The sequence below is a fragment of the Homo sapiens genome, chromosome 5 (genome assembly GCF_000001405.40).
Source record: "Homo sapiens chromosome 5, GRCh38.p14 Primary Assembly".
Taxonomy (NCBI): Eukaryota; Metazoa; Chordata; class Mammalia; order Primates; family Hominidae; genus Homo; species Homo sapiens.
In genome coordinates, this window is record NC_000005.10 from 105509196 (window position 1) to 105523663 (window position 14468).

Consider the following 14468-nt stretch of genomic DNA (forward strand, 5'->3'; position numbering starts at 1 on the left):
TGAATTTTGTTTGTCTAATTGTTAATAATTATGTATATAGAACCATAAAAAATAAACACATAATACAAAATAAACATTTTTAAACATTTGATTTTATTTTGGATCCTCTCAAAATAAATGCATATCTATAATATAGATATGTATTTATATGTTCTTATTTTTATGGGTTTGAATCATTATTTCAACATTTAAAATTATGGACGTTTATAGTTGTTTTTATATTTTATCAAAATCTTAAGGAATGCTATTTTAATTATAACAGCTTTCCTTTTGGAAACTACAGTCCGCTTTTAAGATATTACTTTATGATTCTAGAAATGGAAGGAAGGAACTGTCTGCTGCCTGTGTCTATAGAGAAGCCAGAGAAATTCACAGGAGTTGGAAACAGTGGGGTAGGAGGAAGTTAGGTGGGAGTGGCAAGGCAGATGGAATCTGATGCCCCTTCCTTTCCTTCCTTTCCTTCCTTTCCTTCCTTCCTTCCTTCTTCTCTCTCTCTCCTTCTTTTTCTTTCTTTCTGAATTTCTTCTTTTCTTCCTTTTCTTGTGGGAGGAGTTACACTTAATCTACGTAATAAAGCAGAGGGGCAAACTTCTGCTTTCTTTCTGCCTCTTGAGAAATGTCACCCTTTGAAAGAATCAGCTCTAGCTGCAGTGCTGTTTAGCAGATAGGCTTGTCTTTGTTCTACACAGAAAATTCTCACCAGGCTTTTCTCTTTAGATCAGAGTCTCGATTTCTCTTCTCATTTCTCCCCCCAAAAACGATTGATCTCTATCTGGATCGAAATGTTCACAGGCAAATATCATATGGACTGGTTTCAAGTCTTAAGGTATTCGGTGTTTTTCACCACTTCTGTTAAACACACGCATACATACAGACACGGACTTACTAATCATGTTGTATAGTCATGGCATAGCATTTAATATTGTCAGTCCCAATTTCTATATCTATATATCTATATAACAGGAATAAGTAACATTGGCTCCAAAATCTGTAATATATAGTGAGGAGAACACATGAGATACTGTAGGTAAGAGTACATTTAAACAACAAGTCTCTATACATGATTTTATTATAGTGATTCTACCAGTGTTCAAAGACAACAGCCTGTCACTAGAGCTTTAAATTACCTAAATTCAGAACATTATTTTTAATGAACTGAAATTTAGACAAATATAACTTTTACAGTATCTATCGTTTGCAACTTTCTACAGTAAAGGAAATATAACAAAATGCAATGTTGAAAGCAGTATAGTGAAAAATATTTCAGGTAAATTAAGCTTTCTGTGCGTATAAAGAGACAGAAAAAATATTTAAAATAAAATAACGTACATATTTGAAGTCATAATGACTTCACAATATCAAGCTATCACAACATTAAGGCCATGTACAGCAAAGGGCTGATGAGTCTACAATGTACACGAAACAGAAAATCTACTGATTGTTATCTCTACTTTTATAAATTTTAACCTCAGAAAACCTGTGATAAAAGGCTTAAAATTTTTCTGCTTCTCATTTTTGAAATATAATTAAGCTTCAGTCCTATTATTTCATGACAATGGAAAAGTCATTGATTGTGCTGCTTTTGAAATCCTGTATCACATTAGGCACTTTCTAATAATGATGCCCTTGGCTTAAGAAAAAGAAGAGAAAATTGTCTTGACCTAATTAAAAACTCTGAAGATCTTCTCTATTATTTTTTCGTACAACTTATTTGGGCCACATGCCAATTAAAGAATGAACATTTTAAAAAATCTGTCAGATGGAGATAAAATAAAATGATATATGTTAAAATAACTCAGATTTTCAGAAGTGAGATTTGTCAGACTACATAAAAATTTGTGAGCAGAATGCACATCAGTGAAGTTTCAAAATGAGGTCACATTCATCTTTGTTAATCTCAAGTACCTTAGATCCAAGAAAAGGGCATGGCTGTGCCAAGAAAGGAGAGTCTGTAGAATAAAAGCATCTCTTTTCAAGCGTAATTACAAACTTCAGTGAATAATGAAGAATCTCTTGTTACCTCGGTACCACCTATCTTCTTTCATTTTCTATTACAATGAGATAACCCCCATTATTATTTCTGAGTGAATCTGGAGCCATGAAACTACAGACAGCTTGGAATGTTTTCAACTTGCAGTTTTCACGCTAAGTCAGAACTATTTGAATTCACACATGTATTTGAGCAAGTCAACATATGAAATGAAGTTCGGTCTTCTGTTATGCCTTCAAAATACTAACTAGATTCACTATTGCCTAACACATCAAAATCTATTTTCATGAAATCCCTGAAATCTGTCTTTCCTTATCCCTCTCTCATTTACAATTATCCCCTTCTCCCTTGTGTTCTGTGGTTTTCTATCACATTGTATGAAATAGTCCAAAAGCTGCTGTTTTCTTGGTTTTGTGCATAATATTTTATGACAATGCATTTTCCTTCTGTTATTAATTCTTAGCCGTGTACATACATACCCATTAACTCTAACATTTGTTTTGTCTCAGAATACTGCTTCATATTTATTTATATTTGACTTCATAAATGCAAATTATTTAATAATTGATATTGTATCTCCTTTTAATAAATAGCACTTTCTTTTCATATAAACTTAGAAAATACAGATAATTGTACAATGTTTTATTAATATGATCCAAAACTTTAATTGTCTTCCAATTGACCAGATTTTAAAAAAATAAGATTTTGCCAGTTTTACATAAAAGGTTTTCTATAGTATGCCCCTAATTAAGCTACTCTCCACTGGAAATTTCGGTCTTATTCTATACTCCTGCCAAAATAAATTTTCCCCGTACCCAAGAATCCTCCTCTGGATACCTTCCTCAGTGTCTTTGTTTATGACATTGTCCTTTATCTAGTCTTTGATGATCTCTGAATGTCAAATAGCCAACCTTCAGAATCCATTGTAAATAGTTCCTCCATAATTTAATTTTTCCTATCTGTCTCTACGTGGGACAAACGATGATTTCTCAAGAATTCCTTCAAAATTTAAGTTTATTGGTACCTTTTTTTATGAGACAGCACAAGATTTCATAATTCCTTGTATGTATTAGATATTTGAGTATTAGCTGTCCATGTGTATATTTAAATGAAGAGAGATTATTTTGAAATCTGCACATCTATGGAAAGGAATTTGGTTTCTGTAATGGAAAATGTGGCTCGGTAATCTGCTAGACTCAGGAGGGCTAGATATATGGGAAAAATAACTCTACAACAAGGTTAATTGGCTTAGTAGAAGAAAATCACCAGGACACTGGGCAAAGTAGGGGAATGGAAAGGTACTTCTTATAAAAACAAGACTGACTTGGACATTTAAAAAAAAAAAAGAATAGTCTTTTATACATTAAAACAACTTAATAGAAGTTAATTAGATTTTTCTAGAAAACATTATAAAATTGCCTGCACAAACACATACGCACAAGCTATAGCCATAATATTAAAAATAAAGTGAACAAATAAAATTTTCAGTTGCTGATAACCCTCAGGTTTTTGGGTCAGTGCAACAGCACATGAATAATAATAACCTATAAAAAGATCTTCAGAAAACCTATTTGTATATTAGCAAATGAAACAAATCTTCAAACAAGAGGTTAATGAAAATGCATTTAACCTAGAAAAGAATTGTTACTGAGTGAATACAACAAATGGCTTAAACCTTCAACTTTGTGTGAACCTGTTCAAACAGTGATTAGTGAATATAATAGAAATAAAATGAAGAGATATTTCGCAAAATAGTCAGTAAACTTATGGTGATCATTTCCAGCAAAGTAATCATGTAAGCTAAAAATCAAAGAGTTCACCAAATGTTTGTACTTACCTGAGTGCAAAAAATTATATATGCATAATGCATGTCTTATTATCACATATCTTTGCACTTAAAATATTTGCTCACATTCTCTCTTTTCCACTAGTGTGTGAGAGCCCAGTGTCCAGTATAGTTACTCATTAAATGTTTGATAAATCAATAAATACATGAATGAATCAAACAGTGGGAAGTTGTGTGGTAAATGCCATATTTTTTTTTTTTTAATTTTTTTTTTTTTTATTATACTCTAAGTTTTAGGGTACATGTGCACATTGTGCAGGTTAGTTACATATGTATACATGTGCCATGCTGGTGCGCTGCACCCACTAACGTGTCATCTAGCATTAGGTATATCTCCCAATGCTATCCCTCCCCCCTCCCCCGACCCCACCACAGTCCCCAGAGTGTGATATTCCCCTTCCTGTGTCCATGTGATCTCATTGTTCAATTCCCACCTATGAGTGAGAATATGTGGTGTTTGGTTTTTTGTTCTTGCGATAGTTTACTGAGAATGATGGTTTCCAATTTCATCCATGTCCCTACAAAGGACATGAACTCATCATTTTTTATGGCTGCATAGTATTCCATGGTGTATATGTGCCACATTTTCTTAATCCAGTCTATCATTGTTGGACATTTGGGTTGGTTCCAAGTCTTTGCTATTGTGAATAGTGCCGCAATAAACATACGTGTGATGTGTCTTTATAGCAGCATGATTTATAGTCCTTTGGGTATATACCCAGTAATGGGATGGCTGGGTCAAATGGTATTTCTAGTTCTAGATCCCTGAGGAATCGCCACACTGACTTCCACAATGGTTGAACTAGTTTACAGTCCCACCAACAGTGTAAAAGTGTTCCTATTTCTCCACATCCTCTCCAGCACCTGTTGTTTCCTGACTTTTTAATGATTGCCATTCTAACTGGTGTGAGATGATATCTCATAGTGGTTTTGATTTGCATTTCTCTGATGGCCAGTGATGATGAGCATTTCTTCATGTGTTTTTTGGCTGCATAAATGTCTTCTTTTGAGAAGTGTCTGTTCATGTCCTTCGCCCACTTTTTGATGGGGTTGTTTGTTTTTTCCTTGTACATTTGTTTGAGTTCATTGTAGATTCTGGATATTAGCCCTTTGTCAGATGAGTAGGTTGCGAAAATTTTCTCCCATGTTGTAGGTTGCCTGTTCACTCTGATGGTAGTTTCTTTTGCTGTGCAGAAGCTCTTTAGTTTAATTAGATCCCATTTGTCAATTTTGGCTTTTGTTGCCATTGCTTTTGGTGTTTTGGACATGAAGTCCTTGCCCATGCCTATGTCCTGAATGGTAATGCCTAGGTTTTCTTCTAGGGTTTTTATGGTTTTAGGTCTAACGTTTAAGTCTTTAATCCATCTTGAATTGATTTTTGTATGAGGTGTCAGGAAGGGATCCAGTTACAGCTTTCTACATATGGCTAGCCAGTTTTCCCGGCACCATTTATTAAATAGGGAATCCTTTCCCCATTGCTTGTTTTTCTCAGGTTTGTCAAAGACCAGATAGTTGTAGATATGCGGCGTTATTTCTGAGGGCTCTGTTCTGTTCCATTGATCTATATCTCTGTTTTGGTACCAGTACCATGCTGTTTTGGTTACTGTAGCCTTGTAGTATAGTTTGAAGTCAGGTAGTGTGATGCCTCCAGCTTTGTTCTTCTGGCTTAGGATTGACTTGGCAATGCGGGCTCTTTTTTGGTTCCATATGAACTTTAAAGTAGTTTTTTCCAATTCTGTGAAGAAAGTCATTGGTAGCTTGATGGGGATCGCATTGAATCTGTAAATTACCTTGGGCAGTATGGCCATTTTCACGATATTGATTCTTCCTACCCATGAGCATGGAATGTTCTTCCATTTGTTTGTATCCTCTTTTATTTCCTTGAGCAGTGTTTGTAGTTCTCCTTGAAGAGGTCCTTCACATCCCTTGTAAGTTGGATTCCTAGGTATTTTATTCTCTTTGAAGCAATTGTGAATGGGAGTTCACTCATGATTTGGCTCTCTGTTTGTCTGTTATTGGTGTATAAGAATGCTTGTGATTTTTGTACATTGATTTTGTATCCTGAGACTTTGCTGAAGTTGCTTATCAGCTTAAGGAGATTTTGGGCTGAGACAATGGGGTTTTCTAGATATACAATCATGTCATCTGCAAACAGGGACAATTTGACTTCCTCTTTTCCTAATTGAATACCCTTTATTTCCTTCTCCTGCCTAATTGCCCTGGCCAGAACTTTCAACACTATGTTGAATAGGAGTGGTGAGAGAGGGCATCCCCTGTCTTGTGCCAGTTTTCAAAGGGAATGCTTCCAGTTTTTGCCCATTCTGTATGATATTGGCTGTGGGTTTGTCATAGATAGCTCTTATTATTTTGAAATAGGTCCCATCAATACCTAATTTATTGAGAGTTTTTAGCATGAAGGGTTGTTGAATTTTGTCAAAGGCTTTTTCTGCATCTATTGAGATAATCATGTGGTTTTTGCCATTGGTTCTGTTTATGTGATGGATTACTTTTATTGATTTGCATATGTTGAACAAGCCTTGCATCCCAGGGATGAAGCCCACTTGATCGTGGTGGATAAGCTTTTTGATGTGCTGCTGGATTTGTTTTGCCAGTATTTTACTGAGGATTTTTGCAGCAATGTTCATCAAGGATATTGGTCTAAAATTCTTTTTGTTGTGTCTCTGCCTGGCTTTGGTATCAGAATGATGCTGGCCTCATAAAATGAGTTAGGGAGGATTCTCTCTTTTTCTACTGATTGGAATAGTTTCAAAAGGAATGGTACCAGTTCCTCCTTGTACCTCTGGTGGAATTCGGCTGTGAATCCATCTGGTCCTGGACTCTTTTTGGTTGGTAAGCTATTGATTATTGCCACAATTTCAGCTCCTGTTATTGGTCTATTCAGAGATTCAACTTCTTCCTGGTTTAGTCTTGGGAGAGTGTATGTGTCCAGGAATTTATCCATTTCTTCTAGATTTTCTAGTTTATTTGTGTAGAGGTGTTTGTAGTATTCTCTGATGGTAGTTTGTATTTCTGTGGGATCGGTGGTGATATCCCCGTTATCATTTTTTATTGCGTCTATTTGATTCTTCTCTCTTTTTTTCTTTATTAGTCTTGCTAGTGGTCTATCAATTTTGTTGATCCTTTCAAACACCCAGCTCCTGGATTCATTAATTTTTTGAAGTGTTTTTTGTGTCTCTATTTCCTTCAGTTCTGCTCTGATTTTAGTTATTTCTTGCCTTCTGCTAGCTTTTGAATGTGTTTGCTCTTGCTTTTCTAGTTCTTTTAATTGTGGTGTTAGGGTGTCAATTTTGGATCTTTCCTGCTGTCTCTTGTGGGCATTTAGTGCTATAAATTTCCCTCTACACACTGCTTTGAATGGGTCCCAGAGATTCTGGTATGTTGTGTCTTTGTTCTCGTTGGTTTCAAAGAACATCTTTGTTTCTGCCTTCATTTCGTTATGTGCCCAGTAGTCATTCAGGAGCAGGTTGTTCAGTTTCCATGTAGTTGAGCAGTTTTGAGTGAGATCCTTAATCCTGAGTTCTAGTTTGATTGCACTGTGGTCTGAGAGATAGTTTGTTATAATTTCTGTTCTTTTACATTTGCTGAGGAGAGCTTTACTTCCCAGTATGTGGTCAATTTTGGAATAGGTGTGGTGTGGTGCTGAAAAAAATGTATATTCTGTTGATTTGGGGTGGAGAGTTCTGTAGATGTCTATTAGGTCCACTTGGTGCAGAGCTGAGTTCAATTCCTGGGTATCCTTGTTGACTTTCTGTCTCGTTGATCTGTCTAATATTGACAGTGGGGTGTTAAAGTCTCCCATTATTAATGTGTGGGAGTCTAAGTCTCTTTGTAGGTCTCTAAGGACTTGCTTTATGAATCTTGTTGCTCCTGTATTGGGTGCATATATATTTAGGATAGTTAGCTCTTCTTGTTGAATTGATCCCTTTACCATTATGTAATGGCCTTCTTTGTCTCTTTTGATCTTTGTTGGTTTAAAGCCTGTTTTATTAGAGACTAGGTTTGCAACCCCTGCCTTTTTTTGTTTTCCATTTGCTTGGCAGATCTTCCTCCATCCTTTTATTTTGAGCCTATGTGTGTCTCTGCACGTGAGATGGTTTCCTGAATACAGCACACTGATGGGTCTTGACTCTTTATCCAATTTGCCAGTCTGTGTCTTAATTGGAGCATTTAGTCCATTGACATTTAAAGTTAATATTGTTATGTGTGAATTTGATCCTGTCATTATGATGTTAGCTGGTTATTTTGCTCGTTAGTTGATGCAGTTTCTTCCTAGTCTCGATGGTCTTTACATTTTGGCATGATTTTGCAGCGGCTGGTACCGGTTGTTCCTTTCCATGTTTAGTGCTTCCTTCAGGAGCTCTTGTAAGGCAGGCCTGGTGGTGACAAAATCTCTCAGCATTTGCTTGTCTGTAAAGTATTTTATTTCTCCTTCACTTATGAAGCTTAGTTTGGCTGGATATGAAATTCTGGGTTGAAAATTCTTTTCTTTAAGAATGTTGAATATTGGCCCCCCAATATTGGCCCCCACTCTCTTCTGGCTTGTAGGGTTTCTGCCAAGAGATCCGCTGTTAGCCTGATGGGCTTCCCTTTGAGGGTAACCCGACCTTTCTCTCTGGCTGCCCTTAACATTTTTTCCTTCATTTCATCTTTGGTGAATCTGACAATTATGCGTCTTGGAGTTGCTCTTCTCGAGGAGTATCTTTGTGGCGTTCTCTGTATTTCCTGAATCTGAACATTGGCCTGCCTTGCTAGATTGGGGAAGTTCTCCTGGATAATATCCTGCAAAGTGTTTTCCAACTTGGTTCCATTCTCCCCATCACTTTCAGGTACACCAATCAGACGTAGATTTGGTCTTTTCACATAGTCCCATATTTCTTGGAGGCTTTGCTCATTTCTTTTTATTCTTTTTTCTCTAAACTTCCCTTCTCACTTCATTTCATTCATTTCATCTTCCATCGCTGATACCCTTTCTTCCAGTTGATCGCATCGGCTCCTGAGGCTTCTGCATTCTTCACGTAGTTCTCGAGCCTTGGTTTTCAGCTCCATCAGCTGCTTTAAGCACTTCTCTGTATTGGTTATTCTAGTTATACATTCTTCTAAATTTTTTTCAAAGTTTTCAACTTCTTTGCCTTTGGTTTGAATGTCCTCCCGTAGCTCAGAGTAATTTGATCGTCTGAAGCCTTCTTCTCTCAGCTCGTCAAAATCATTCTCCATCCAGCTTTGTTCTGTTGCTGGTGAGGAACTGCGTTCCTTTGGAGGAGGAGAGGCGCTCTGCGTTTTAGAGTTTCCAGTTTTTCTGTTCTGTTTTTTCCCCATCTTTGTGGTTTTATCTACTTTTGGTCTTTGATGATGGTGATGTACAGATGGGTTTTCGGTGTAGATGTCCTTTCTGGTTGTTAGTTTTCCTTCTAACAGACAGGACCCTCAGCTGCAGGTCTGTTGGAATACCCTGCCGTGTGAGGTGTCAGTGTGCCCCTGCTGGGGGGTGCCTCCCAGTTAGGCTGCTCGGGGGTCAGGGGTCAGGGACCCACTTGAGGAGGCAGTCTGCCCGTTCTCAGATCTCCAGCTGCGTGCTGGGAGAACCACTGCTCTCTTCAAAGCTGTCAGACAGGGACACTTAAGTCTGCAGAGGTTACTGCTGTCTTTTTGTTTGTCTGTGCCCTGCCCCCAGAGGTGGAGCCTACAGAGGCAGGCAGGCCTCCTTGAGCTGTGGTGGGCTCCACCCAGGTCGAGCTTCCCGGCTGCTTTGTTTACCTAATCAAGCCTGGGCAATGGCGGGCGCCCCTCCCCCAGCCTCGTTGCCGCCTTGCAGTTTGATCTCAGACTGCTGTGCTAGCAATCAGCGAGACTCCGTGGGCGTAGGACCCTCTGAGCCAGGTGTGGGATATAGTCTCGTGGTGCGCCGTTTCTTAAGCCGGTCTGAAAAGCGCAATATTCGGGTGGGAGTGACCCGATTTTCCAGGTGCGTCCGTCACCCCTTTCTTTGACTCGGAAAGGGAACTCCCTGACCCCTTGCGCTTCCCAAGTGAGGCAATGCCTCGCCCTGCTTCGGCTCGTGCACGGTGCGCACACACACTGGCCTGCGCCCACTGTCTGGCAGTCCCTAGTGAGATGAACCCGGTACCTCAGATGGAAATGCAGAAATCACCCGTCTTCTGCGTCGCTCACGCTGGGAGCTGTAGACCGGAGCTGTTCCTATTCGGCCATCTTGGCTCCTCCTCCCATGCCATATTCTTAAAGATAACACAAAACCTTGAAAAAATGTCAATTGAAACACTTCAGTTTGAAAAACTTTTTCATAAGAATATTAAACTGTGTGAACAGTACATCAGACCAAGAATTATGTTACTTTACAGTCATTATAACACAGCAGTATGTTTATGATACTAACCATAAACAACTAATCAACCAGAATGACTGCACTCATGTGTATCAGCAGATTATCGGCACAGTTGGACCCAACAAAGAAATTTTTGTAGTTTTATTGTGTGCCAAAAGTCAAAATAAACTTTTCAGATAATGGTTAGTTACATGGCTTAGCATAGTTTGAGCCTTGGGCTAATAATGCCAAACAAATGTTAAGAATTCGAGATAGTTAAATTACTTGTCTTTAGCTTCACTACAACAGACTAAATACTTCTACCCCCTTGTTCAATACTCTACAAAATACCAAATTCACTTTTGATTTGTGTGGTCAATAAACAGAAGTAAATGAATTAATCATCTTAAATCTTTTATAAATGTGAATAAAAAGAATAAGGCCATGTGTAGTAGCTCATACCTGTAATCCTAACACTTTGGGGTGGGCAGATCACTTGTGCCGAGGATTTCAAGACCAGCTTGAGCAACATGGTGAAACTCCATCACTACAAAACAAAACAAAACAAAACAAAACAAACAATTAGCTGGGTGTGGTGGCATACACCTGTAGTTCCAGCTACTCAAGAGGCTGAGGTGAGAGGATCGCCTGAGCTGGGGGAGGTCAAGACTGCAGTGAGCCATGATCACACTATTGTACTCCAGCCTGGGTGACAGTGAGACTGTCTCAAAAAATGAAATAAAATTACTCAAAGTAATTTTTCTGTTATTATTGGTAAAATGGAAGAATTGCTGAGTTCCTTTATTGTGTTGTGATTAAAAAGATATTATAAAATTACTATAACACTTCAGAAAATGCCAAGTGTAAATTATATACACATAAATGAAGAATAACATATGAAGGTGAAGAATAACATATCAAATATTGTTGAACTAAATTTTTCCCTACTTTAGGTAAAACTGATATAAAGCATGCAGGCCAGCCCCTGTGGCTCATGCCTGTAATCTCAACACTTTGGGAGGCCAAGATGAGAGCATCACTTGAAGATAGGAGTTTGAGACCATTCTAGGCAACATAGTGAGTGCCTGTCTCTACAAAAAATTTAAAAAGTTGTTTGGTGTGGTAGCATGCACCTATAGTTCCAGCTACTCAGGAGGCTGAGGAAGAATAATGGCTTGAGCCTAAGAGATCACTGTACTCCAAACTGGGCAACAGACTGACATTATGTCTCTTGAAAAAAACAAAACAACACAAAACAAAACAAAAAAACCAAGAACAACAAAAAAGAATGCAATGGCACAGATTGTATATCTCATGTTAAACAAACAAAAACTAATAAACCAATATAAACGCATCACAATTGATTATTTTTCTTTAAACTTTGGGAACTATTGGGAGACAGAGGCAGGAGGATCATTTAAGGTCAGGAGTTTGAGACCAGCCTGGCCGACATGATGAAACTCTGTCTCTACTAAAAATACAAAAATTAGCAGGGCATGGTGGTGTGTGCCTGTAATTCCAGCTACTTGGGAAACTGAGGTGGGAGAATCGCTTGAACCAGGGAAGCAGAGGTTTCATTGAGCTGACATTGGACCACAGCCTGGGCAGCAGAGGAAGACTCCGTCTCAAAAAAAAAGAAAAGAAAAACAAAATGGGCAACTAGAAGAAATATATAAATGCGAACATACCCAATTGCTTTGTTACAATTAAAAGCGACATTATTTTTAATATCATAAATTATAAATGTGCTTTTCCAAGGCATGCTGAAGGACAAAATATTATATATAATCTTAGAGTGAATTGTTATTGTGCACACAATTTAGGAAATAGAGTACACCAAAAAATATAAATGCATAGGCCCGGCGCGGTGGTGGCTCATGCCTGTAATCCCAGCATTTTGGGATCCGAGGCAGACGGATCACGAGGTCAGGAGATCGAGACCATTCTGGCTAACACGGTGAAACCCTGTCTCCACTAAAAATACAAAAAAATTAGACGGGCGTGGTGACGGGCGCCTATAGTCCCAGCTACTCCGGAGGCTGAGGCAGGAGAGTGGCGTGAACCTGAGAGGCGGAGCTTGCAGTGAGCCGAGATCTTGCCACTGCACTCCAGCCTGGGCGTCAGAGGGAGACTCCGTATCAAAAAATATATATATATATATATATATATATATATATATATATATATATATATATATATATTCATAGATGTTATATCTGTTTTTAGATTGCTCGGTGAGTTTTAGTATATTACATTATTACGACAGCTAAACTATACATAAGGTTTCCTAATTTGCAAAAATCAACTGAATGCTTTGTTGTGTTTTTGTCACTTTTTGTTTTTCATTTTTTTACACATGGGTTTGTGTGCAAGTGAAACAGATTTTTAGTAGAATCTTTCCACATTTCCATTCATAGTTCAGGCTTTCAAATTGAGGGCAGTGTAGTAAGTCAATGATACAAATCCTTACTAGAATAATTAGTTCCTAATTGGATGAGTTAAAAACCATAACAATGGCCTCAGAAGACAATAAGTTAGTCAGAACCTGAAATATATTAAACAGTTTCAACCTTATAATTTTTCTTAACATGCACATTCAGAAACCAGAATCAGAGGAGAAATTTCATACATGCAGATGAGCACTTGTGAGCAACTCACAAAATAAATGTTATTTAGTTTGAAAAGCCTTGTGATTTGGGAACCAATCTGCTAGATAGATGCCAAATTAACTGATAATTGCCCTAGCCTGAAACTAGCCATACTGTCTGGTACTGATAAGTATTTGAAAAATAACATTTTCGTAATTGCATGAATCTCTATTAAATGAAATAAACCTGTAAAAATCATAGAAATACCAAAAAACCAAACATATTGCTAATGCAAATTACTCCTTTGTTAGTGAATAATATCTTTTTCTAACATTGCTTAAAGCGATTCAATTGAAAAGCTAAATCCACATTTATACTGCATGTTATGCTTGGATAAAGTCTCTGTTCTTCATAGCCCATGCTTTACCCACACCAGGATGCTAAATTGTGACAGGGTGTGTGGGTAAAGGCATTTACAAGATAAATCACTGTTAATCATTTACATCCACAAATATAATTGGTTTTGTTAAGGATCTGAGTAAAATCATTTGTGGTAATTTCTTTCCTCTCTACCATCGAAGATTATGACTTCTTCAGGATACTCATATAGTGAAATTCCATACAACTTTTGTGTCATATATTTGGCTCTTATTACTTATTATGAAAAAAATGTATAGACTTTCTATTTGCCTTCAGTTTTGGAGAAATTTATCAGAAATGTGAGATTGTCAAATTAACCAATTATTAATCACCTATAGAATATATTATGGGCGTATATTTGCAAACTAGAGAACCGGAAATGAATTATAAGTTCTTACAGTTTAGAAAAAAAGCATATTTACTAAGAATTTTTAGTGCCATGTTGCCATATTTTTCCTATACAGCTTCATTTGTGCAATTCTGGTACCCAACATTTTGTCTTTCTCTTGATTTGAATAATTGATTTTAAATTTAAAAGCATAAATGTAAGCTAATTTGTTTAAATTCAAGACAATTTAGCTACAAGCATGTAGATAAAAATTTTGTTTGTAGAAAGTACCATTTTAAAATGTATATAAATATATATTTGGTGGTGGAGTGGGGAGATATCATCACTTTCCTTATTTGGACAGAGCCAGAGATAGTTACATAATGTGTTTTCATTAACTTATGACATAAAATTAGTTTGAAACTCTAACTTTGATGACTCAAATAAATTAAGCTACATAATCTCTATGGCCGTGAAGTAAACATATTACATGGTGTAACAATAATGGGATTGTGAAAATTCTAACAGTGAGTCTGGATTTGAGTTCAGTCATCATCAGAGTAAAAACAAAGCATGGCATACCCTGATGTGATTCTCTCTGGTTCTTTGTTCCCAAAAGACAAAAACACACACTTAAAGTATAATCAAAAATAATAAAAAAAACTTATGTAAACTTGATAGTATTAGAAAACAATTTTTTCTATGTTGCTGCTCTTACTTTTTTACAAAGATAGCCTGTGATTCCCCATGTAATAATTCAATATATAACCTCGGCTCACTTATCTCAGTAAATCTTTAGACACGAAATAAACATCCAGTAGCAGAACTATATTTCTTTATTAAAGCCCACTTTGGTTTCCACGTTGTCCAGGCAGTCAGAAGTTAACCTCTGATTGCTTTCAATGCTACAATCTGCTGCTATCTATGAAAAGATATAGACAGAAAAGATTAGGAAT